General features: G+C 42.6%; 2 protein-coding genes and 1 long non-coding RNA gene across 8 annotated transcripts in view, besides 1 other annotated feature; 2 read left to right on the top strand and 1 right to left on the bottom strand.

Moving 5' to 3' along the window:
* The window catches only part of PRKCH-AS1 (PRKCH antisense RNA 1), a 28,119-nt gene extending 19,990 nt beyond the window's left edge, over positions 1–8,129 (top strand). For 2 of the 6 annotated variants that reach the window (NR_186039.1, NR_186037.1), the window contains 2 exons: positions 4,313–4,629; positions 7,099–8,129. This is a non-coding gene — a long non-coding RNA (PRKCH antisense RNA 1). Of the gene's footprint in view, positions 1–1,564; positions 2,040–3,313; positions 3,486–4,312; positions 4,630–6,231 lie in introns of all 6 variants that reach the window. The other 4 variants (NR_186040.1, NR_186038.1, NR_186041.1 and 1 more) reach the window with 3 other exon arrangements.
* PRKCH (protein kinase C eta) overlaps positions 1–26,984 on the bottom strand; it is a 363,509-nt gene that overhangs the window by 248,148 nt on the left and 88,377 nt on the right. The window lies entirely within an intron of this gene.
* On the top strand, positions 21,491–25,459 carry TMEM30B (transmembrane protein 30B). Its single transcript, NM_001017970.3, has one exon. The coding sequence runs from the start codon at positions 21,682–21,684 to the stop codon at positions 22,735–22,737; it is 1,056 nt and encodes a 351-aa protein (NP_001017970.1). The 5' UTR covers positions 21,491–21,681; the 3' UTR covers positions 22,738–25,459.
* Positions 22,066–23,029: an enhancer, noted in NCBI's record as "H3K27ac-H3K4me1 hESC enhancer chr14:61746518-61747481 (GRCh37/hg19 assembly coordinates)". NCBI's record gives its function as "activates a minimal SCP1, AML or CMV promoter by ChIP-STARR-seq in naive H9 embryonic stem cells {active_cell/tissue: H9 hESC(naive)}" and the evidence as "EXISTENCE:reporter gene assay evidence [ECO:0000049][PMID:30033119]".

Below are 26,984 nucleotides of genomic sequence, written 5' to 3'. Positions count from 1 at the left end.
GTGCACATGGACTAGTTACCAAGATAGATCTCGTGCTGAAATATAAAATGTGGCTTAATAAATTTCAAAGGATTGAAAAATACAGAATATGCTCTCTAAACATAACAGAATGAAATTAGAAATCAATAACAATAAGATATCTTAAAACTCCCAAATATTTGGAAGTCCCACAACATAGTTCTAAATAACTGAGTTAAAGAAGAAATCACAGTAAATTTAAAAGATATTTTAGCCTGAATAATAATTTTAAAAATCAAAATTTGTGGATGTTCCATAGACAGCAGGTCTATGCAAACCTACCCCCCAAAATTAAGGTAGCTGAGATGTTGAAGAAAGAGGCTGACAAATCCGTTTTCTCAGAAAGAAACCTTTAATAGGAACTTAGGAACAGAAGCCATGTCTAGGGCAGCCATGAGATGAGATGGTGGATCCCCACACTTTCCCCCAACCCGGACCCAGGGCTTATATGCCATAAAGAAAGGCATGTAAGTCCTGCTTCAGAAGGACTGTGTAAAACAACTGAAGTGGACCCCTCTGGGAAAGGCAAGAATGCTATATGCTTCACAGCCTATAATTTGCTTAAGGCAGGATTTATGGTAAGTATTTGCTTACATTTTATGCCACAGATCACATAGTTATTAATAGAATAATAAGGAAATATTGTGCATAACATTATGCCAATAAATTCAACAACTTAGATAAATTGGACACATTTCTTGAAAAATACAACATGTAAAAATCTGACACAAGAAGAAACAGAAAATCTGAATAGCCCTGTCTCTGTTAAAGAAATAGAACAGGGAAAACTCTGTAGTGATAGAAACTAGGTCAGTGGTTGCCTATGTAGAATGTCAACTGAAAGAGAACATGAGAGAACTCTTGGGAATGATGAAAAAAATTCTATATCATAAACTTTTTGTGGTAGTTACAAGGGTGTATCATTTGGTAAATCCATAAAATTTTGCCTTTAAGATATGTACTTCTTTTTCAGACAGGATCTCATTCTGTCACCAAGGCTGGAATGCAATGGTGCAATCACAGCTCACTGCAGCCTTGAACTCCCAGACTCCAGTGATCCTCCCACCTCAGCCTCCTGAGTAGCTGGGACTACAGGCACACACTACCACACCCAGCTAATTTTGTATTTTTTGTAGAGAGAAGGTCTCACCATGTTGACCAGGCTGGTCTCCAATTCCTGAGCTCAAGCAATCCTCCTGCCTTAGCCTCCCAAAGTTTTGGGATTATAGGCATGAGCCTCAGTGCCTGAACAGATGTGTACATTTCACTGTATGCACACGTTACCTTGAGCATATAAGTTGCATGCCAAAAACTATGACATAAACACAAAATGTGAAACATTCTGACATTTTAAATCTTAAATATAATTGAAGTAAAAAAGTCCCCTGAGATATCTTAGGTACGATATATGCTAAAATGCAAAACATATCCTACAACTTTATTTGAAAAATGTTTATTTTCCTTCTGAATAAAAGTTCCAAAGTTCAAACCCAATCATATTTATTTCAGTGATGATAATAATGACTGTACTGATTCATCCTTCCAGATTTAGCTTGTGAACCTTCTTCAGTGTAATTTTTCTGGAACCACCATGATGAAGTAGAGTCATTGTCTGGGGTAAATACCTGAGGTTCCTTCTCTCAGCCAGGAAATCGAGGACATGGACACACGAGAAGTGGATTTAAGAGCAGAAGTTTAATAGGCGAAAGAAAGAGAAAAGAGAATCTCTCTCCTGCAGAGAGAGCGGGGCGCCTGAGTGGGTCTTCCGGTCCCATGGTGAAGTACACAGGTTTTATAGACTGGCTTGAGGAGGTGGTGTCTGATTTACATAGGGCCCAAAGATCGGTTGGACCAGGTGTGATGTTTACATAACAGGAGAAGAAGCTGACCACCCCACCCTAATCTTTTATTCTGCAAATGGATTTTCTACCTTGCCAGTGCCACGTTTTCTGTTCTTTACCATTCACAAGGTTGACAAAAGGGAAGATGGAACTGCCATGCTGAACATGCCTAGCCCCCAGGTAGCCTTTTCCTATTGTCACAGCTGCCAGCCATTCACCCGTGCAAGCTTGCAGCTTGCTTATCAGTCTGCAGCTCGATTTTTCAGCCTGCTTTTGTTAGAAAAGGAAGGATTTGGGGGCTACTTTTCATTAAAAGGAAAACCTTACCAAGGACTTCCTTACCCTCACTATCTGCCTAAATATTTCTCTTTAACTCCTATATCAATGACGATTTAAATTCTCCCTCTGTTCCCTTGTCTCCCAGTATACATCTCCCTTACAGCACCTGTATACTGTGTTCTGATGGTCTAAATATAGTTATTCTCCTCTACCCCACATTGTGATCTTTGAACATAAGACTGTGCTTTTATCTCATTTTCCCAGTGCCTGTCATATTGCCAGGCTTAGCAGGTGCTCAATAAATTCTGTTTCATCAAGTGCTTGAATGATAGTCATATGGAGATTCTTTCAGTCAGAATATACTATTGGTCTTGAGAAGATGATTTAAACATTTTTTCCTTTGAATTTGATTCCCTTCCTGTTACATGTTATCTAAGAAAACATATCCTACAGAAGTATTCCAAAACCCGAGAAAGAAAACACACAACAAAACAAAAAGATTAGATAGCAGATACTGAATGAAATGCTCAAAAATGCTCCAGTTCAATATTAAATGAAAAATAGAAAAGAGAAAGGAAAACTATATTATGAGATAAAGTGAAGTAGAGAAATGAGACTTTGGACATACACTCACAGGCTTTGGATTATAAGAGAAAGAAAAACTTACATATGGGGAAAGGATCTTTGCAATGGAATTACTTCCCAAAAGGTGAGACAGTATTCAAACTGATGAAAAATGTTATTTGTCCTTTGAAATGTTTATTTTAAAATAGGTTTTATAATAATGCATAGGTTTATGATCACATTTTCTTATATCAAATAACAATACAGTTTGTTAACTTCTGTAGCTATGTTCTAATTGCAGAGCTCTAGTTTGATTTTAGGTTGGGAGGGTGTATTCAAAAATATATAAGCTGAACTGAGAGGCTTTGCTTGTCTCAAAAAAAGGTCTCATGGGAGATGAAAGTAGAGTTGAAAACCTGAAAGGCAAAAGGTTGCAAGTTTACTGCAAGGTTTTGAGACAAGGATGCTGTGGTACTATTACAGTAGATAGCTAATCAGGTATGAGCAGGGCAGAAGAGGGCTCCTCCTGCCCCACCAGGAATGTCAGGCCAACATCAAGTGATGGTCAGGTGGTTGTTACACTGTTTCTCTAAAATAATAATTGGTCACAGGTGGCCCCAGGGGAAGGCAGTCTCCCAGTAGAAAAAACCTGAAAGTTGTGATCCGCAGCTTCCCGATAAGATCTCAGGAGTTGGGCGAGTGGGCTCAAGCATGTGCATTAGGAGGCAACATGGCAGACTTTAACTGGTATATATGACCTTCTAGGAACTTTTGACTGGTAAGGTAAGAACGCCTCAGGTGAGCATGCATACAACTCCAATAAACACACTGAGCATGCAGCCCCTCCCAGGCACTGGCTGGCCATTGCACATGCAGACCCTTCTTCAGTGTAATCTTTCTGGAACCACCATGAGGATTTAAATTCTCCCTCCCTGTACCCATGTCCACCAGTACACATGTCCCTTACGGCACCTATACACTGTGTTCTCATGGTGTAAATGAAGTTATTCTCCTTTACCCTACATTATGTGATCTTTGAACATAAGATAGTGCTTTTATCTCAGCCCAACCCAAGGGAAGAATCAAGGGAGAAGTGACACCAGACCCCAGAAGCATGCCAACATATAAAACCCCAAGTCAAAAGGTAAAACCATGCACGTGATCTCTCAGGTCGCCCACTTGGCCTTCTTCCAAGTGTACTTCCTTTCATTCTTGCTATAAAGCTTTTTAATAAACTTTCACTCCTCCTCTAAAACTTGCCTTGCACTATCTTTCTGCTTTATGCCCCTTGGTCAAATTCTTTCTTCTGAGGAGGCAAGAATTGAGGTTGCTGCAGACCCAGAGGGATTCACCGCTGGTAACAGTAAAAAGCAGGAAAAAAAGAGTTTTGGTAAAAACAAAAACAAAAACAAAAAAACTACCCTCTTACTCTCAGATATCTACGTACTGAAACAGGGCCACATGACAAAGTTTTATTAAATAGATACTAGTATCCTCAATTAAAATAATGAAAATCTGTTTCACATTTCTAGAGTTAAGGCTAGCACCTCAGATAATTTGTAATTTGTAAATGAATATGTATCTTATTTGTTTTCTCTATCATGTTGTAGATTAGGGATCGTGATGTGGAGCTGCACTTCCTGGTTCCAAATCCTGGCTCTTCCCCTCATCCCTGGGTAAGTTGAGGGATGAGAGCAAGAGAAGGTTGATCCTGACTCAGATCTCTGCATGGGGCATGTCACTGATGACGGCGGCATTCCCTGAGAGAGGGAACACTAAGTTTGAAGTTGGGCATAGTGAGCACTATTTTGGATGAGTTAAGTTTAGAAGTGCCTGAAGACATCCAAGTGGAAGAAGTGGCTGCATGGACTGAAGATACAGACTGGGAAACGTTAACACCATCAAGGAACTGGAGTCCTGGGCACAGGTGAGACTGCTCAGGGGAGTTGTAGAAGGAGAGGACACAAGGCCTCAGGCAGAGCTCTGGAGTGAAGGGGTTGTACAGTAGGAGAGAAGGCTGGAGATTAAGGGGAACAAAGAGATTGTTGGTGTATCAAGGGCTGTGCTATGTAGGGGACAAAGTCTGGGGATGAAATGTCAGTAACATCATCTTCCATTAGCTGATTAAAGATGAGAGTAAAAAAGCTAGCTCCTGGGATTGAAAGCCAATTAATTTTATTCTTTTCTAGAGTTAAGACTAGCACCTCAGATGATTTGTAATTTGTAAATGAATTTGCGTCCTATTTGTAAGCAAATGCTTCTGGTGATAAGGACCTACAAATGACAGAACACACTAGACCAGGGGTCCCCAACCCCCAGGCCACGAACAGTTAACAGTCCTGTGGCCGGTTAGGAACCCAGCCACATAGCAGGAGGTGAGTGGCGGGCAAGCCAGCATTACCCCCTGAACTCCACTTCCCGTCAGATCAGTGGCAGCACTACATTCTCACAGGAGCACAAACCCTATCCTGAACAGCGGATTTAAGGGATCTAGGTCACACATTCCTTATGAGAATCTAATATCTAATTATGTGAGGTAGAACAGTTTCATCCTGAAAGCATCTCCTCCCCTTCCATGAAAAAATGGTTTTCCATGAAACCAGTTCCTAGTGCCAAAAAGGTTGGAGACCACTGCAGCAGACAAATATGAGTTCACCAACATTCTTAGAAAATCAGCAGCATAATGCTCTGAAGTGGAGGTGAAGGAACTGTATTCTCTCATTTGACTCAGGAGCCCCAGGCCCAAGTCTAAGTTTGAGAGGGATTATTCTTGTGTCACACAGAAAGGAATAGTTTCTGTATGCAAGGTAAGTTTCATAAGACTGTGGAATTACATTCTGGATTTCTCCTTAATAAACTGTAACATTGGCAAATTTTATATGAAAAATAAAATGTTTCTACCCTGATTGAAACCATAGCATGAAAATATTAACTAATGCACGTTACTTTCTTCTGCATAGCCTAGCATTTGAATGCCAAGTGCTTTCCATATTTGAGATGCACAGTGCCATCTAATGGTCACAAACCATAAGCCAAAAGAAGAAGAAAGGGAATCAGAACTGAAATAATAATAAAATAGTAAAATCTAATACATTACAAGCTTCAAAATTGCATAGTTAACTGCCCTTGCCTACAAAAATTTTATCTTTGCCTTAGTCATTGTCATGTGAGTTACAATCATGTGAGTTACAAATGATCATATTGCATAGATAACTACAGATCACATGTTAAATTAAAATAATTCATGACAAACCTGAAACCATAACTTATATGCACTTTACAACTTTCTACTTTCACTCTTCAATCACCTGAAACTATAATACATAGGGTTCCTCATGCGTATACACTATTCCCACAGAAACAAAATCATTAGAAATACCTTGGATGAAATAATATGTTTAGGATAGTTTTTTAAAGGGAGGGTAAGATTAGGGGGATAGATAAAAGGATATTATCTTGATGTCTACAAGTTTAGCAGATGGCCAGTCTTCTGCATGGAAAATGACTATTCTAACCATTCTCCCTGCAGCCCTTCAAGACAGAGGAGATTATGGGGCTACTGAACGTATCTTGGACTTTAGAGAAAGAAAGTGAAGCTGAGCTGAGATCCATTGGTTCTATTTTGGAAAGATGCACCCCGTGGCATGACCTTCACAGCTCAGTTCTGGGGTCAAAGGAATTTTCCATTGCTCACACTGCCACCCAACTCTGGGGGCATAAGTGTGGAAGTGGTACAGCACACATGGAGAAGGGATGGGAGGAGCAGGGGTGTGTATCAGCTTAGCCGATCCCCCGAGGAGCTGCCAAGCTTGCTACCCCAAGAACAATGCCTCATAGCTCTGTGACCTCTTCAAGATTAAGGCTCTTTGATCTCAGCCCTTCTGAAGTGGTTTGAACCATATTCTATACAAAATTGGTAACTCCCCCATAAGAATTGCTTTTTAAATATCCTGCTCTATTTGAAAAAGGAATTTTAAAAATAAAGTTTACCCTTTTACTCTCTCCCAGCAAGTGAGATATTCAAAACAACAAAAATTCCTCTAACATGTTATGATGTGGAAACTGGTATTTTACTGATTTGTCTTTTCCACTTGGCTTCAAGTTCTTTGGGGAATGAAGATCATATCAATCCCTAGCCGACCGCTTCAGGCACAACTGCAAATGTTTCTTGAATGAACTTCCAGGCTTACCTGAATTCTAAGGGGGATTTCCACCATAATGGGAAAGCCACAAGAAAACCAGCAAAGGGTTTAAAAAAAAAAGGGTGAAAATATAAGTTATTTATCGGGGGTTATCACTTTATGCAGAGAGCATTCGAAACAATGATTTCCACAAATGGGCAGCAACAGTAACAGCCATACTAAGCCATTGCTTTCTTTACTTCCTCTTGGTCTAGAATATGCTGCAAAGGGAGAAGAAGGAAGACGTGTGGTATGGAATCACCTATGGATAAGGTTGAGAACCATGGGCTAGATGCTATGGAGACCAACGTATCACTTACTAGGCTTTACTTTGTGCCAGGCACTGGATTCGGCATTACCCCATTTAAGCCTCACTACCATCCTTCATGTTACTATTCCACGTTGCCGCTCAGGAGAAACAAAATTTTTTTATTAAATTCAAGTAACCTGAGGTCCCATATTTAGTAAGAGGCAGAGGAGTTAGATGTGTCAATAGCTAAATTACATGGCTGTGTCCTCTAGCTGGCCAGGGACTGACAACATCAGTATCACCTGGTGACTCTCCCAGGGGAGATGTTTTTAAAAATCTTTTCCAGTAATTCTGTGCAACATGGCAATCTGAAACCAGTCTTTCAGACCTGGAAGTTCTTTAGAGACCACAGGACTCTCTTTGATATTTTTTCTTTTGAATTTTTTTAAAATACAGAATCCTTTTTCATGTTCTCTGTTTATAAAACAACTGCATGTCAATTACATTATTTTTTAGAAGATAGGTACAAGAGCCAGGCGTGGTGGCTCATGGCTGTAATCACAACACTTTGGGAGGTCGAGGCAGGTGGATCATTTGAGGCTGGAAGTTCGAGACCAGCCTGGCCAACATGGCAAAACCTGTCTCTACTAAAAATATAAAAAATTAGCCTGGAGTAGTGGTGCATGTCCCAGCTACTCGGGAGGCTGAGGCATGAAAATCGCTTGAACCCGGGAGGTGCAGGTTGCAGTGAGCCAAGATCGCACCACTGCACTCCAGCCTGGGCAACAGAGCAAGACTGTGTCTTGACAGCAACAAAAAAAGAAGATAGGTATAGGAATTAAAAAGAAAGCAAATAATTACTGGTAGCCTGACCACTAAGAGATATATACTGATATTTTTTTTGCGGGGGGTGCATCTCCTTGCAGGCCTTTTTGTATGTTTATGTTCAAACACATTTGTAACAACAATGAATAAAAAACGCATAATATTCAATGACTTTTTATTCGGTCTTCAGTGTATTATTGATATCTTATTATGACAGTAAATAGGTCTGCAACAATATATTCAATTCTCATCTTATATTCCATCAATAAATCTACCATCACAGTTAAAAGATTTTTATTTGTGACTTGAATGAAGGGTTATATTGATCACATGCTTGGGTGACACAAGCCTAATATACTAGATATAAAGAATCAGAACATAAATAATATTAATAAATGGGAATTATGATCCTAAATCAACATAAAATTTAAATAAAAATCTAAAACTTCAACGTCAGGCATGGAGGCTCACGCCTGTAATCCCAACACTTTGGGAGGCCGAGGCGGGCAGATCACGAGGTCAGGAGATCGAGACCATCCTGGCTAACACGGCGAAACCCCATCTCTACTAAAAATAGGAAAAATTAGCTGGGCGTGGTGGCAGGCACCTGTAGTCCCAGCTACTCGGGAGGCTGAGGCAGGAGAATGGCGTGAACCCAGGAGGTGGAGCTTGCAGTGAGCCGAGATCGCGCCACTGCACTCCAGCCTGGGCGACAGAGCGAGACTCTGTCTCAAAAAAAAAAATAAAAATAAAAATAAAACTTCAAACAATGTCCAACTAGTGTCTCTCTGTTAAATCCCACATCTCTGGGAGTGGAGAGCGTTCCACCTGAGAGGGGCAGGCAATTTGACTGACGTGAACTGTCAGGCATCAACAAACAAATAAGTGTAGCCACGTTAGTGGGATGACATATGCAATGAAAATGGCCACCTCGGAACATGGAAAGTATAAAACTCAATATAAACATATTATTACCTTGAAAGAGCTTGGTTATCAGCTCTGTTAATAGACAGATTCTGGGGCAGAGTTTTCCTGGTAAGATTTTCCTTGGAGAAGTACTGAAGTTCAGACCACAGGTGCTGTCTAGGAAACTAACTTTTCAGTTTGCAAGCAGAGGCTGACCGCTCTAAGTTTGCAGACTGATCAGAGATGGTGCTGGCAGTAACCTTCTATTATTTAGCACAATAAAAAATCTAGCTAAATAAAACTCTAAAAGCAGATTTATTATCACCCACAGATTGCTTCTAATAAATAGCTCTGATTTTTAACAATTTTAAAAAAAATCTTCAGGTGTTCTGAGAACTGAGTGATTTGGTCTCTGGTTGAGTATTCCGTTTGTACAAGCTGGACAGAAGAAACGCTGTCATTTTAGTGCTGCGATAAGATTCCATATCTACTTGAATGTAAGGTCAGCCAGAGGTGGGCTGTGTGGACCTTAAGGGGAGGGGACAATGGGAAGTCCCTTCTCTGCTTCTGGAAGACCTGGGACCAGTCCTTCAGAAGCCTGTACTTTGTTGCTGTCACACTTGCTGCCTAGCCCACCAGGCTTCTAAGCTCTAGCGTATTGCCCTTGCCATGGTCATTTGAGATGAGGTTAAAAGGGCAGGTGCTTCTTTTGCACCAGCTGACAGGCCCTCTGTGAAGATGGAAGGTCTATCTGTCCATGCAGTTGTAGTCAATCAGGCATTTTAGGGTTTTGCCCTAACAGACAGTTGGTACCCACCTGTACCTCTCCTGTTGCCCTCTTGGGAGGTTAATGAAGATGAGCTTATGTTTTATTAATGTTATTACTTTCCACTTTCACTCTTTAGTCATGTGCCACTTTATTACATAGGGCTTCTGGTGCATATACACTATTCCCACAGAACTCTTGAAATAAAGGCTGAATAATCACCTGGTTTTGTGAGCAGACAGGGAAAATCCCTTCTTGGTGGTATTTTTCTTTTTGTGTTTTAGAGATGAGGATCTCACAATGTTGCCCAGGCTTGTCTCGAACTCCTGGCCTCAAGTGATACTCCTGCCTCGGCCTCCTTAGTATCTGAGATTATAGGTGCAAGCCACAACACCCAGCTTGGTGCTTTTTTTTTTTTTTTTTTTTTGGAGATGGAGTCTCACTCTGTTGCCCAGGCTGGAGTGCAGCAGCTCAATCTTGGGTCACTGCAACCTCCGCCTCCCGGGTTCAAGCAATTCTCCTGCCTCAGCCTCCTGAGTAGCTGGGACTACAGGCACGCACCACTATGCCTGGCTAATTTTTGTATTTTTAGTAGAGATGGGGTTTCACCCCATCAGGCTGGTCTTGAACTCCTGACCTCAGGTGATCCACCCGCCTCAGCCTCCAAAAGTGCTGGGATTACAGGTGTGAGCCACTGCACCCAGCTTGTTTTGTCTTTTTTTGAGACAGGGTCTCACTGCCCAGGCTGGAGTCTAGTGGTGTGATCACAGCTCACTGCAGTCATGACTTCCTGGGCTCAAGCAATCCTCCCATCTCAGCCTTCCTAGTAGCTAGGACCACATATGTGCACTACCATACACGGCTAATTAAATTTTTTTTTTTTTTTTGTAGAGACAGGGTTTCCTAGGCTGGTCTTGAACTCCTGGGCTCAAGTGATCCTCTCATCTCAGCCTCCTAAAGTGCTGGGATTACAAGCATGAGCCACTGTGCCTGGCCTTTGGTGGTATTTTTAATGAGAAAATTTTCCTTATTGATTGGAGCAGAGTTTGATCTGCCACATTTTTCCCAAGGGTAATTTTTTAACTCTCCTCCTAATTTACTAGGTGGTGCATCTAAAATACATGCCACTTCCTGACTGATAAAATGTGAGTTCCGGGACTCTTGGGCCAATGTTCTACACAAGGTTCTAGAGGCCCAGCTATTTCACCACTGATCATTATTAAAGTCTTTATCAATTTTGTGGAGCAATCTGATAAGAAAAACCTAAGAGCGCTCGCAGTTTTTATTGACCTTTCCATAATCTTTGACTCAGATGACTGAAATCAGTTATAGGCTGAGATATGCAAGCTCAGTATTGATTCCCCATCCCCACTCCCACCCTCAGCCACAAAAGCTTATAAGAAACCTGCACTTAATACCACCGCGTTTCAAGGTCAAGAGTAACAGTCCATTGAGGATTAGATACAGTGTTTACTCCAATTACAAGAAATATAGAGACCTTCCTCTGGTTCATCAGAGGCTTTCTCTGGTTCATCAATGCTATGGTTTCATTATCAAGAACCAGAGGGCAGCTGGGCATGGTGGCTCACGCCTGTAATCCCAGCACTTTGGGAGGCCGAGGCGGGCAGATCACCTGAGGTCAGGAGTTCGAGACCATCCTGGCCAACATGGTGAAACCTCGTCTCTACTAAAAATACAAAAATTAGCTGGGCGTGGTGGCACACACCTGTAGTCCCAGCTACTTGGGGGGCTGAGGCAGGAGAATTGCTTGAACCCGGTAGGCGGAGGTTGCAGTGAGCCAAAATGGCACCACTGCACTCCAGCCTGGTGACAGGGCGAGACTCCGTCTCAAAAAAAAAAAAAAAAAAAAAAAAAGAACCAGAGGGCATTAATAGACAATTGATCTTAGCTATTATCACAAAGAAGGGCCAGTTGCTCTAAATCCAAACCCAACTTTCTAATTTATATATATTTTAAAACTTATGCACATATACCCTTCTCAGTATAAAAAGCTAGATGTTCTATAAGGGACTTACTGAGATTTGTTTATGGATAAAACTGACATTTGGTTATAAGAAATTTAAATTTTGTTCAGGCTAAAATCTCTGAGGCTGTACTTGGCATATTATCTTGTTGGAGCAAACACTAAATTATTTCTTAAGGAGAATCTGAGCACAGACAGACAGTCCTTTCTTAGCCCACCTCCAAGCTGAGGTGCAGTGGCCTTCTGTCTACCATATGTCCTTGCTATGTACCTCAGTTTTAATAAGAAGTTGTCAATCCCTCCCTAGCTTGCTGGCTTATTAAAACATATGGCTCTGTATTTAACTGGCAACACGGATGCTGTGTGTGCCAGGAACTTATCAGGATGTTTAATCTCTCTCTTTTTTTTTAAGCAACCCTATTAACTGAAGGATACTTAATCTTGTAACTCACTGCTGCTCCTTAACTACTGAACTTTGGGAAATGAGAGATATTTGCAGAGGATTATGTGAAGGACAGCAATGCACCCATTTCTTTTAGGTCAGTTTCAAACTCTTTAAACCACAGAATCCTTGTTCAAACCCTGTCTTTCTTAGAAGCCCAAGGATAGGAGAATGGGATGTTGGGAAGCTGCCCCTCAGAGGACATCTTGGAAAAACTGCTAGGTCCTCTAACCTATCCTTAGACATCAGGGCAGAGACCCACAGAATGGCACACCCAGACTGGATCATGGGGCCTCTGAATTGTGCCTTGACCGAGCACCATCCTGTCTCACTCTGGCAGATGTTACAAGAAACAATCCTAGGAACTCACTGAGGTATTTACCCTAAGTATGTTGTTAAAGATGTTATTTTTCCCCAGTTTCACATCTCTGGGAGAATCCCAAGGAGAACATTATTCTTACTTTTTTTTTTTTCTTTTTTTGAGATGGAGTCTCTCTCTGTCGCCCAGGCTGGAGTGCACTGGTGTGATCTTGGCTCACTGCAACCTCCGCCTCCCAGGTTCAAGCAATTCTCCTGCCTCAGCCTTCCGAGTAGCTAGGACTACATGTGCCCGCAACCACGCCCGACTAATTTTTGTATTTTTAGTAGAGACAGGGTTTCACCATATTGGCCAGGCTGGTCTCGATCTACTGACCTTGTGATCTGCCCGCCTCAGCCTCCCCAAGTGCTGGGATAACAGGCATGGGCCACCGTGCCTGGACACATTTTTCCTATTCTCTCAGGCAGAAATCTTTAAAGTTCTTCTGAGCTAATGGCTTATTTTCTCTCACAGATGCAATGACTTATCCTTTCCCTTCTCTGGCCACTAGGAAACCTGAGGCAGCCCTGCAGACTACCACCAGCAAGGCCACAGGATTTCATGGCAGGTGCTTCACAAACCAGCTTCTCACTCAGCTCCATTCTATTTTACAAAATATATTCCTTCTGCCTTCACTCTTATGCTGTGAAGTATTTTTTGCATGTTGTTCTATTGTGTAAAGTCACCCTCAATACTTAGTTTATTTTTGAGACAGGGTCTCACTCTGCCACCCAGGCTGGAGTGCAGTGGCACAATCATAGCTCACTGCAGCCTCCACCTCCTGGACCCAAGTGATCCTCCCACCTCAGCCTCCTGAGTAGCTGAGACCACAGGCACATGCCACCATGACTAACTAATTTTGGTATTTTTTATAGAGACAGGATTTTGCCATGTTGCCCAGGCTGGTCTCAAACTCCTGCACTCAAGCAATCCTTTTGCCTTGGCCTCCCAAAGTGCTGGGATTACAGGTGTAAGCCACTGCACCTGGCCTTGGCAGTTTCCTTGGTAATGACCCTCATGTATTCTAGGTTCATTTTCTGGAGTAATACAGAATAAAATCACTCCTTGCCTTTTAAGGATGCTGAAGATGGCTACTATGTTCACCTCAAGATTTTTATGCCCAGCCTATACATGCTTAGTTCCCTGAACTGGTCCTCTTTGGATCTAGATTCTCATCATGCTGGTCCCCTTCCTTTACACTTAACTTGGGTTTAGAGATGTTCTTATTAAGGAATTTGCTCACCCAGTAATGTTTTAAAAGTGGGGCTGGGTGTGGTGGCTCATGCCTGTATCACCTGCAAGGTGACACAGCACTGGTGCCAGAGTCAAAGCTGTGGCAACCAAAAGCCATAGAAGCCAAGATATGGAGGTGCAAAAACCAAGAGCCTTGCTGAAGATGGCCTGCCTGAGCTGCAGAGAGAAGCAGAGGCAAGACAATGCAGAGAGAAGGGAGCTGCCTGATGACGTTCTACTCCTGTGACAGCCAGATCTGCTTCCTTCAATTCTTCCTTCTGTGACATCCCTCATCTCTGAACAATAACAACCTCTTTATTAAAGCTGATTTGAATAAGTTTCCGTTCCTTGCATCCCAGAAATTTCCGACTAAGTCAAAGAGAATTGCTAGATGAAATAAGCTGAAGTAGGTGAGTGGCTCCCAGAGCTCCTATCATCACATCAGAGCCTGCTCTGAGTGAACTTCCTGGTAACATCTACAGTCTTGGTTTCATTAAGATTCCCAAACTTTGGCTTAGAAGTTGACACAATGCAGCCATCCTCACAGAACTTTTCCTACAGAAAGAAAACTAAAAATTTAAACACAGCCATTACGAATTCAGAGTTACTATTCAGAGAAAAAGTCAGGGGCCCCTACAACACTCCATGGGTATACGATCTCCAGATTGAATATTAACAAGTCAGTATTGATCAGCACACATGACATAGGTTCCTAGGGTGCTGGGCCAAGGTATTTTTGCATTTGAATCAGTGACCTAGGTAATGGAATTGAAAGTATGTTTATTGAGGCTTGTCACCACAGCTCATGCCTGTAATCCCAGCACTTTGAGAGGCTGAGGCAGGAGGATCGCTTGAGTTCAGGAGTTCAAGACCAGCCTGGGCAACAGAGCTAGACTCTCTTTCTACAAAAAAATAAAATTTAATTTGTATTTAGTTTTTTTTCCGGTGGTTCTGGGGGAAGAAATGAAAAAAACAGAGTATGTGTATTTGGCTCATTGATGATATCACATAGGGAAAGACATCTAAGCATGTCTTTGTTGGGCACCTGAGTTTTCCTAAAGGATGTCACCCCTCTCTCCCTAGTTTATGGCTGTTAGAATATATGGCTTTGCTCTGATGTAGCAATATATATTTATTCAATTTTAAAATCTGATAACTTTCTGAAATTTTTGAAATGTTTAATTATTTACCTGATACGTAAGAAATTCCTAAAGTTTCAAACAGATATAGTCACTATGCAGAGGGTAAAGCCAGTCTGAGGTCGCTGAGGTGAAGACTTCCCCAAACCAGTGAGTTTCACTACACTGGGGACAGGATGGCAGAGGAGGTGACTTCTAGCCTCAAAAGATTGGCTGGCTCCACAGACACTGTCATGGTGTCCCCCTCCCTCTTCCAGTCCTCACCTTGGGTATAAAGCCCCTCTCACTGGCCACACTGGGCAGTCTAATTCAGTTTCTTTTTTTTTTTTCCTTGAGACGGAATCTCACTCTGTTGCCCAGGCTGGAGTGCAGTGGCACAATTTCAGCTCACTGAAACCTCCACCTCCCAGGTTAAAGCAATTCTCATGCCTCGGCTTCCCAAGAGGCTGAGATTACAGGCGTGCACTACCATGCCTAGGTAATTTTGTATTTTTAGTAGAGATGGAGTCTCGCTATGTTGGCCAGGCTGGTCTCAAACTCCTGGCCTCAAGTGATCTGCCTGCCTTGGCCTCTCAAAGCGCTGGGATTACAGGCGTGAGCTACCGGGCGTGGCCCTAATTCACTTCTGAGTCAACCCCCTCTCTTCTTTCCAGTACAGAGCTCTTCCTTCCCCTCTGTCTCAATTCTGTCACCTAACTTGTCCTCTGCCTATTCTGGTGTTGCTCTCCTGCCAACTCACCAAGCACAACCCCTACAGCCAAACTCTACCCACACAATTCAAGTCCAGCCCTATCCTTGCTGGTTTATCTTTTTTTTTTTTTTTTTTTTTTTTTTTTTTAAGACGGAGTCTTGCACTGTTGCTCAGGCTGAAGTGCAGTGGTGTGATCTCAGCTCACTGCAACCTCTGCTTCCCGGGTTCAAGCGATTCTCCTGCCTCAACTTCCAAGTAGCTGGGATCACAGGTGCATGCCACCACACCTGGCTAATTTTTGTATTTTTAGTAGTGACGGGGTTTCGCCATATTGGCCAGGCTGGTCTCTAACTCTTGACCTCAGGTGATCCACCCGCCTTGGCCTCCCAAAGTGCTGGGATTATGGGTGTGATCCATTGCACCCTGCCAACTGTCTTTTAATCTGGCCATCCCATACCTAATGCCTCTGCTGTTTAAGACCTTCTGTTATCCATCTCAGTCCCATTTTTCACTTTATACTGCCCCCTGCAACTCAACCCACCCAACTGTGCTCACAGTTCACCCTCTTTTTTTTTGAGATGGAGTTTCGCTTTTGTCGCCCAGGTTGGAGTGCAATGACGTGATCTCGGCTCACCGCAACCTCCACCTCCCAGGTTCAAGCGATTCTCCTGCCTCAGCCTCCCGAGTAGCTGGGATTACAGGCATGCGCCACCATACCCGGCTAATTTTGTATTTTTAGTAGAGACGGAGTTTCTCCATGTTGGTCAGACTGATCTCGAACTCCCGACCTCAGGTGATCCACCCGCCTCGGCCTCCCAAAGTGCTGGGATTACAGGTGTGAGTTCACCCTCTCTTTGACCACTGTTTTGCAGTAAGTTAGTGACAAAGAACCAACACACCGTGGCAGGGAGTGGAGAGAATTCGCTTCTGTCTTTTGTGCCTCTGGTGCTTACAGTGCTAGTTAATTAAAGTTTCTCTGCATCTTCCACTAGGGGGTACCACTCCATAACTTTTGAAACAGAAGTCTGCTGGATGCAGTTCTTAATAAAAAATGAAGTCCAGGCACAAAGAATTTTTTTAAAACTTTTCTGAGCGCATGCTGTAATTTTATGAAGCAATTTAATTTGATTCTTTTTAAATAAAAGCTGCCCCATGGGCAGAGTAATAGGCAACAATCTTGAGCAGTATAAACCTATATAAGGGAATGCCAATTAAAAACCCAGGTTCTGTTACAGTAAGATAAATAGTCATGAATTAAATGAACTACATGCAAAAACTGAGAACAGCCAGACAAGTGAAGTTATTTTTATTCTAGCAAGAGAAATGAGCATGCTAAACAAAAGTTGGATTTAAAACAAAAGCTTTTGTAAAAACAAAAATACAAGCAACTCAGCTGTTCCTGGGACTCTGTGTAAATGGAACAGAGTTTGCTTATCTTTGGGGTGTTAAGAGAAGATCTGCAACAATAAACACTGGTTCAAGGTTAACGTTTTTGGAGTTTTTTGAGGAGGAAATATGCCAAGGCCTTACAGTGTAGCATGGTTGAAGAAACAGGACACTGGAATTAAGCTGCCCTTTGAATCCCTCATCTCCCCATTACAACTATGAGAACTCAGGCAGCCTCCATTGCACTGGCTTGAATCTTAGTTTTGCATCAGTTCTTTGAGTATAATTGGACTGAATGCCCCCCATTTGTGTACAAATTAGATGGGACAATGTATATAAAGTGTTTACGCAGTGACTGTAAGTACTGATTCACAGAAGGTACTCAATAAAAGTTAGCTATTATTCAATGAGTCATTGTAAGGAAGACTAGGAACAGAAATCTTTGCTTAAAAAAGACACACTAACAATCATTTTGGTAAACACGTTCGTACAGATAAGCAATCATGAGAACAGAGAAGTTAAGCAATTTGACCAAGGTCACACAGTTATATCCTAAGGAACTTTCAGGGTAGAATCTGAACTTCCTTAAGGTCCGGCCAGCATTCTTTCCCCTATCCAATACTATTCTCCTAGTATCTGAGAGTTTATTGGCATAGACTAAATATATTCTGTGCTTAGCTCTTGGTTTTGTTGGCAAATTTTTGGTGAAAGTATCAAAATATATACATTGGTGTGGCAGTGTAAATATGACTCCAGCAGTATGTATTTTTAAAGAGCTTCACCTTTAAGTCCCTTTCCTACTTTTAGAATTTTATCCCAAGGAAAAAAATCTGAAAGAAAACGTTAGGGGGAAAGGGAGACACATAGTTTTTTTTAAAAAGGGTTATATGCAGAAAAGATGGTCACTATCATATACTTTGGAATACTGAAAAACTGGATATAACCTACATGTCCAACAATAGTTAAATATGATAGACCTATGAATTATGGCACCATTAAGGAACATAGAAAATATTTATTTCAATCTTCATCTCATTCCAAAATGAGGTAATTTGACAACTAGAATAATTGTGTGTATATCTTAATTACAATCTATTAAAAATTAAATATTTACATGGATAAAGTCTGGGAGATAAAATGAAAAAATGAAGTGATTTTAGCAGTATTTGGACTAGAAATGCCTTTTTTCTTTTCCTTTGAGTTCTTAATAACACTGATACAAAAAACAATTTTAGAGTGAACTTGTTTCTTATTTTACTGGTACTAAAGAGTTTACATGATCCAAGCATCCTTTAATACATCACAACATATGTAATAAAATGAGAGAAATGAGATCTGAACCTTCCTTACATAGTGAACTCTGAGGAACACGACAATGTATATCTATATCAGTCTTCCACCTCTCGGAACTTACGAGCTGGTAGGGGAAATATAGTGTATACATGGACCTTGGTACAGCTTCACCTCCAAGATCTTTAACACCCCATCTCATACCAGCACTTTTTCCTCCCAGCTTTCACGGCACCTGCCAATTAACATTATTAGGACTGCCAATCTACCAGTATCTTCTTTTTCTTTTGATCCACAGGGTTGGTTTCATTTTCTTCGCCTTTCAGATTAACTACTAAGGCACATCTCTTTAGCCACCCCTCCACAAGGACTGCAATACCTTGAATTTTTTATCTTTCAAATTCATCTGCCCTGAAAACCACCATATGCTGGTCACACTCAGTCATTTCTTTCTCCCAGCCTGAGGTGCGGGAGCCCAATACCCAGCTGCATTCTGCAGAGGGCATTTTTATCACCCTGCCCTCTTGTTTCAGAGGTGAGATAACTCTGCACCTGTTCTCTGAAACCAGTGGCTCTGGCTGGTGGATCAGCGTCTCCAGCCTGCTCCTGCCTTTGCACTATCAGTAAGCTTGCCACCCCTCTTTTCAACCTCATCTGCACTATTATCTTTTTCCCTCAGGATACACACTTCTCTGACATCTAAAAAAGAAGCCTTTCCTTTAGGATACATGCTCTTCTAGACAGTTATCACTTGCCTTTCTCCTTCCCTTTCCACACATTTCTAAAAACAGGCTTTCCCCTTTAGAACCCCATTCTCTCTTTTTTTATTTTATTTTTATTTTTTGAGACAGGGTCTTGTTCTGTTGTCCAGGCTGGAGTACAGTGGCGCAATCATAACTCCCTGGTTAAAGCTATCCTCCCACCTCAGCCTCTTGAGTAGCTGGGACCTCAGGCACATGCCACCACACCCAGATAATTTGTTTTTATTTTTTGTAGAAACAAGATCTCGTTATATTGCCCAGGCTAGTCTCAAACTGCTGGGCTCAAGTGATCCTCCTGCCTTGGCCTCCCGAAGTGCTTGAATTATAGGCATGAGCCACCATGCCCAGCAAGACCTCATCTCCAAAAAATAAAAATAAAAATAAAAAAAGAGTGTCTTCCTATCTTGCTATCTGCTTCCCTTTCCCTGCACCTGATGGTAACCTCATTCCTGCCACACAAACCACCCAAAGTGTTCCCACAAAAGTCAAACCCCATAATTCCTTTTCATTTATCTCACTTGAACCCTCAGCTGTGTTTAACTCTGCTGACCATTCCTTGTCTTGAAATATTCTCTTTTGACTTTGAAAATCTGTCACCTTAATTAGTGGAATGAATAAACTAGTACCTTTAGGCCATCCAGGAATAGGAGAAAAGGAGGAAAGGCTCTGAGCTCAAGAATGGGGCTTGCCCTTTTAGGGGTGTGGTGGTGATCTACTAGAAAAAAGACTTAAGATTTACCAGATAGGCTTGGTGTGATGGCTCACACCTATAATCCCAACAATTTGGGAGGCTGAGGCAGAAGGATCTCTTGGGCTCAAGAGTTTGAGACAAGCCTGGACAACTGAGGGAGACACCTCTCTCTCAAAAAAAAAAAAATCTACAAAAGTTGTGAAAACTGAATTCCTTCCTAGAGACGAGTTTTGTGGACTAGTGATTCAATGAAACGGGTGGGTGGAACTCAACCATAATGATACAAAGAACTATTTATTCTTTTATTGAAAAAAAGGGTGACTGGAGACTGGATCACACTGTGGGAACTTGCTGAGAATTTTGGAACTTCCTCTCTTTGGGTATGATAAGAAGTGAGGGAATTGAAATTCAAGTCACTTGAATTTCCCTCAGTCTTCTATAATACCTGGTTTCCAACTTGCATTCATTTAACAAACTGGAATCAATGTTCCATTATTAAATCAATATTACTTTTTAATTTTAATGTGACTTGTAGAATGCAATTTGATACTTGATTACACCCTATGATTCATAGCTATTATTGGCTATTTTGATTGTTTCTTACTCCTAATATGTCCCCTATCAAACTGCAAATGCCTTGAGGTCAAAGGTCCTTTTTTGTCTAATTAGCATAGGACTGAACACTTGGAAGATGCTAACAACATTCCTCTGTTAAATTTAATAAGGATTTTAACTTTCCAAGTTCAATGGGTTTTGAATGACTCCTGAATATAATATATTATGCTAGGTGTAGTGTAATAGAGAAAACATTTGTATTACTTGCATTTTACAAGCTGGAGGAGAAGCAAGAACACAATACCTAGGGAAGATTTAGATTTAGTAAGAAATCAGAACGTCCCAATACCCCCTTGTATATGTTTTACCAACCTAGATTTAAAAAAAAAAAAAAAAAAGCCAGAATCCCAGGCAACATAGGGAGCTAATTTGAGTTCTTTTTATAATAAATCCTATAAATCCTTGTAGTTTACTTCCTTAGGCCAGACACTCCAGATGTTTTTGTGGATAGCAGCTAGGTCTCCTGGGACCTTGGATTGGGCCTTTCTCTAGTCAGGCAAATAATCTGAAAAGAAAACGAAATCACATGTAGTCCAGCACATTTTTTCCTTTCTTGGTTTCTCCACACCAGCTAAGAGTTATTTAAAGGCTCTGAACCTCTCCAGCCTTTGATTCTTTTTAAGGATGATTTTATTTTTAGAGAACTTTCCACATTTCCTAGTTATACAGCCAGACTGGGTGATCTGGCCAGAAAATCATTTTCCCTTAAAAAAAAAAAAAAAAAAAAAAAAAAAAAAAGCTAAAATTTGAACGCAGGCGTTGAATTCGAAACAGATTTATCATAACGTAATTCCCTGGACACTCCCAACTTGAGACTGAAAGCTGGGCGAAAGCGGTTTGTGAAGCTAACCTAAAAGACAAAATGGTCTAGAGCCACCTTTTCCCCGCAAATAACAGAGGATTAAGGATCTGAAATCTTCAAGCCTCCAGGACCACGGTGCAAGCCCTCAGCAAAAATTTCTGCTGGAGGCCGGAGCGCCTTTTGATTTCGGGAGACTGGCCCAGGAACTCTAGTCACTTGGAAGGCGGAAGAGAAGGTGGTACCTGAGCCAGGTAGGAGCCACTCAGAGGCAGCCCGGGGCCGCCACTCACCTAGGAGAGGAGGTGGAGTCCGATGACCTGGACTGAGAGGAAACGCGAGACTGAGTCTACCAGGTGAGGTAAAAAACACCCACCTGCTCACCTCGGAAGGGGCGGGCGAGGTGCGGCTCCCGGTGACCCGCGGGGGTGCAGCGCACCTGGGCGGAGGCGGAACTGGGAGGGTGTGGGCACTGCTCGTAGGGCCTGGAACTAAACTCACCTGTGACGGAGGCAGAGGAGGGGCCCGGGCAAAAACCCACCTGAGCTGGCGGGAAACCCGACCCGCGAGCAGTCCCCGGGCTTGCGCGGCGCGGAGAGGGAGGCGCCCCGCGGCGGGGCCCCCACTCGGTCAGCCCGCGCGTCGGTCCCCGCGCGGCCGCCATGACCTGGAGCGCCACGGCCCGGGGCGCCCACCAGCCCGACAACACCGCCTTCACTCAGCAGCGCCTCCCCGCCTGGCAGCCGCTGCTGTCGGCCAGCATCGCGCTGCCGCTCTTCTTCTGCGCGGGCCTGGCCTTCATCGGCCTGGGCCTGGGCCTCTACTACTCCTCCAACGGCATCAAGGAGCTGGAGTACGACTATACAGGCGACCCGGGCACCGGTAACTGCTCGGTGTGCGCCGCGGCTGGCCAGGGCCGGGCGCTGCCGCCCCCCTGCTCGTGCGCCTGGTACTTCTCGCTGCCCGAGCTCTTCCAGGGCCCAGTGTACCTCTACTACGAGCTGACCAACTTCTACCAGAACAACCGGCGCTACGGCGTGTCCCGCGACGACGCGCAGCTGAGCGGACTCCCCAGCGCGCTGCGCCACCCTGTCAACGAGTGCGCCCCCTACCAGCGCAGCGCGGCCGGCCTGCCCATCGCGCCCTGCGGCGCCATCGCCAACAGCCTCTTCAACGACTCCTTCTCGCTTTGGCACCAGCGCCAGCCCGGCGGGCCCTACGTCGAGGTGCCGCTCGACCGCTCCGGCATCGCCTGGTGGACCGACTACCACGTCAAGTTCCGCAACCCGCCGCTGGTCAACGGCAGCCTGGCGTTGGCCTTCCAGGGCACGGCGCCCCCGCCCAACTGGCGCCGGCCAGTCTACGAGCTCAGCCCCGACCCCAACAACACCGGCTTCATCAATCAGGACTTCGTGGTGTGGATGCGCACGGCGGCGCTGCCCACGTTCCGCAAACTGTACGCGCGCATCCGCCAGGGCAACTACTCGGCCGGGCTGCCGCGGGGCGCCTACCGCGTCAACATCACCTACAACTACCCGGTGCGCGCGTTCGGCGGCCACAAGCTCCTCATCTTCAGCAGCATCTCGTGGATGGGTGGCAAGAACCCCTTCCTGGGCATCGCCTACCTGGTCGTCGGCTCCCTCTGCATCCTCACCGGCTTTGTCATGCTGGTCGTCTACATTCGCTACCAGGACCAGGACGACGACGACGAGGAGTGATTCCGGCTTTCCAGGGATCCCTCCTGCTTCTTGCCAAAACTCTTGCAAGGTGCTTTTGGCATCTCCTCCTCGCCCGTCACCCAATTCCAACCTCGCCTAGCTTTTCCTCCCTTTGTGAATGAGGGGACCAGATAAGGGAATTACCCCCCTTGCTCTTGGGGGGCTGCTAGACTGTCTTGCCGCGGGGAGGGATGTTGACTGCAGAGTGAAACATCCTTGCAAACTCTTCCCACCTCCTTCACGACACTGAGTTGCCATGTGAGGTTCTTCAAGTCTGAGAGTGGAAGGGATCCCTATGGAGACTCCTATTAAACCCCTATTAGAGGAAGAGATTGAGAGACCTAGCAATGTGAAGTAACAAAGATCAGGCAGCTGCAAGTGACTCCTGAATCTTGAGTCCAGGGCTTTCGCCACTACAGTACAGTGGTTTTCTTTTCTTTGGTCGGGGAGAGTGGGCTGGAATGGAGAGTGAGGCCCACAAATTACCTGCAGAGACGTGGAGGCGTGAGGGAGAACATGCTTGTTAAATATGCAGGTAGATTAGGAGACACCAAACAGAGATTCAGACACAGTAAGGCTGGGATGAGATCCTCGAAGCTGTGTTTTAACAAACTCCACTGGAGAGTCCCATATTCCCTCAAATTTGGGAATCACGACCCTGAACCAGGTTGGGCCTGAAGCAGTCAACTGAATTCACTTTTTCGGATAGTAATTTGTTCCCAGGGGCAGTGACAACCATGATGTTCCAGGTTTGGTCTGGCACTCTGCCTTGAACGTAGGAAGCTCTTGATGATTTGTGGAATGAATTTTTAAAAAATTACTATCTGGGGAAAACTAGTTGGCATACAGAGTTGTAGGACAGGGTTTATGTGATTCATTTGATATTTTAGTATTTTGGTGTAAAAGCCAACAGGCAAACTTTGCCAGGTACTGTGTAGAAACTCGAAAATGTGAGGCCAGTTTGTACAGTTCAGAGGAAATGCTTTAACGTAGAATCAGATAGCTGGAAGAGATCTTCGAGGGAAAGTAAGTTCCCTAAAGTCACATCTATGTCTCCTAGCTCAGTGTTCTTTGTCATTGTGTGTGTGTGTGTGTGTGTGTGTGTGTGTGTGTGTGATTAGAAAGGGCTTCATTCATACCTTTTCCCTTGGACCTGGAAAAAAAATTTTTTTTATCTTTTCAAATGAAATCTATTGATTTCTAGTAATCATATTTGAATCAATGTTAAAGCATATATAGTCTTATATGTAAACTAGATTCTTAAGATTATTTGAACCTTTGAGATGAAGTTTACACTCAACTAAAATCATTCCATTGATTTTATTGATTAACATCAATCAGTATGTTTAAAGTTATTCTAAGAAGCAATAGTTTATTTTTAAAAACCTTGTATAGCAAAATAACTTAAAACCCTTTGTGATATCATCTTACCAGTTTATTTGGTAAAAACAAACAGTTATTTGGTATTTGTCAGAATTCTTCAGTGCCTGCTATTACAGCTATTTTCCAATTACTAACTTGATTATACTCACTCAAGGCAGTGCAAGATCTTGAAGTACTTTTTAGCAGTTAAGTAATATTGAATTGTATTGAATAGTTTACATAGTTTATTCTAGTCTTTGAAAATTACTGAACATGGACAATGTGCATGTCATTGACATCTGCCTTAGAACTTCTGGGACAATCCTGATTCGAGAGATTCTATCCCATTATTTACATATACCAAAAATACTTTGTTAATTTAATGTGTTGGCTTCCCAACTCCTGAACACGACACAATTTTATTATTAGATTTTGTATGGTGATTTTAGGCTATGAAAACATGATCATTATATGTATATAGATACATTTTTATTTGTTACAAATGTTTGAGCAGCTCACTAGCCCACCCCTCCTCTATTTTGGGTAAGAGAATTTACTACCTTTTTTAACTATGTAGTTGAGAGCAACATGTATTTTGTTATTTTTAGAATGGTCAGTATATTGCTATAAAATTTTAAATGAGACTATGAAAGTTAAAGTATTCTGATTCTGGTTAAATTAACGAATATGGTTCCAGGCCCTGTTCTCTGGGTTTTTGAGAGAGAATAAAGGTTATGTTTGTCTTACCTTTGTTATCGAGTTTGCTGAATTCTTTTGAACGATGATCTTAAAGGCACAAACACCACCAGCCACTTTGCTAATTTCTTAATAGCAGATTTACATTGCAGCAAGAAAACCATCTTTTATAGTAACATTCAGTTAAAATGAACTCAATTCATTGTTAACTTCCTAAAACAGAATTTGAACTTTATCAACCTCAACGTGTATATAAACTAGATAGTCCTCAATACTTTATCAACCTCAACATGTATATAAACTAGATAGTCCTCAAATACTGTTTGAATTTAATAAATGTCAATTTAAAAATTTTTGTAGTAGTCTTCTGCATTTTACTTCAATTATAAATTGCAATTATTTATTGGATATTTTGGACTTCAAAGCAGCAGAAACTTTAAAACTGAAATGGGAAACGTTTTCCTGCAATGATCCCTGTGCTGTAACATTTTGTCTGGTGTCTCAGGCTTCCAGGTTCTTGTTGGCCTGAATTCCCTTGTTGCCCAGTAAATGTTCACTAGCTAGAAGTATCTTCAGGAAGTGAGATAGAAAAGAGTGAACCTCAACAATTGGACTGGAAATGAGCTTTGACCTAACTTTGTAAAATAAAAGCATAAAAGAGAAAGTAAAGTAGTTGGTGAGAGCTCCTAAAACAATAATATGTCACTGTATTTTCTCAGATGGTTAAAAAAAATTAAAACAATAATATGACAAAGATTTTCCAGGTATCTCCACAATCAAATCAACTAACCAATTTGCTCACTATAAAATTATTGTTATTATTATTTTTTTTGAGACAGAGTCTCACTGTGTTGCCCAGGCCGGAGTGCTGTGATGTGAACTTGGCTCACTGCAACCTCGGCTCACTGCAACCTCCGCTTCCTGGGTTCAAGAGATTCTCGTGTCTCAGCCTCCCAAGTAGCTGAGATTACAGGTGCACACCACCACGCCCAGCTAATTTTTATATACTTTTAGTAGAGATGGGGTTTCACCAAGTTGGTCAGGCTGGTCTTGACCTTCTGACCTCAAATGATCTGCCCGCCTTGGCCTCCCAAAGTGCTGGGATTACAGGTGTGAGCCACCAAACCCGGCCTATGTAATTATTAAGATTCAGAGACAGACTAATAGTCTGGAATTTCCTTTAGAGCAAATATCACTTCATAATATATAATCAAAACCCTTTCTACCTTACTTTAAGTCTGTTGCCGTCTTCCTGTCATAGGAGATCTCAACAATCTTGAGTAACTCTCTAAGTTGCTGGTAGAGCTGCAAGGTCATCAACTAGTTCCTTGGATATAAGAAGTCCAAGGGCATACACGTAATCAAAAAGTAAATTCCCGGCCAGGTGCGGTGGCTCATGCCTGTAATCCCAGCACTTTGGGAGGCCGAGGTGGATGGATCATTTGAGGTCAGGAGTTCGAGACCAGCCTGGCCAACATGGTGAAACCCCGCCTCTAATAAAAATACAAAAATCAGCCAGGTGTGGTGGTGGGCGCCTGTAGTGACAGCTACTCAGGAGGGTGAGGCAGGAGAATTGCTTGAACCTGGGAGGCAGAGGTTGCAGTAAGCCGAGATCATGCCACTGCACTTCAGCCTGGGTGACAGAGTGAGACTCTGTCTTAAAAACAAAAAGAAAAAAAAAAAAAGTCCCTCTTCTGTTATTTTTATTGGACATTTCTTTGTGTTCCAGATTTTTTCTCTCTACCTAAAACAGAGCTGGCTGATTTTAGATGGCATTCTTTTTAAAAAAATTAACTTTAATTTTTTTTTCCCCAGGAAAATGTCTCTTAAGTCTCCTCCAACCAAAACAGAGTAGTTGCAAAAGAGTCGTTAAGAAGGTCTTCATGAACCTGAAGTACATTAAGGTCCCAAAGAGATTCTTACATAAGAGCAGCAGTTCGTCAGGAATTTGCCAATTTTTCTAATAGTGTTGATGCTATGTACACAGGCATCCTCCATTATTTACTTGATTGTTAGTAATACAACAATACACTGAATACACTGACAACGCATATTCAGGAAAAAATGCGTCCCCACTGCTTTGCCACCTTGCATTAAGATTGCCGTCATTAGCGGTACTCATGTCAATTAGGTTACCGGAGCAAACCAGCATTCCTTTATTTAATGTACTTTGCTGTCCGAGTTCATGT

The sequence above is a fragment of the Homo sapiens genome, chromosome 14, assembly GCF_000001405.40.
Source record: "Homo sapiens chromosome 14, GRCh38.p14 Primary Assembly".
Classification (NCBI taxonomy): Eukaryota; Metazoa; Chordata; class Mammalia; order Primates; family Hominidae; genus Homo; species Homo sapiens.
The sequence above is the reverse complement of the archived record's forward strand: the minus strand, read 5'-3'. Positions and strand labels throughout refer to the sequence as shown.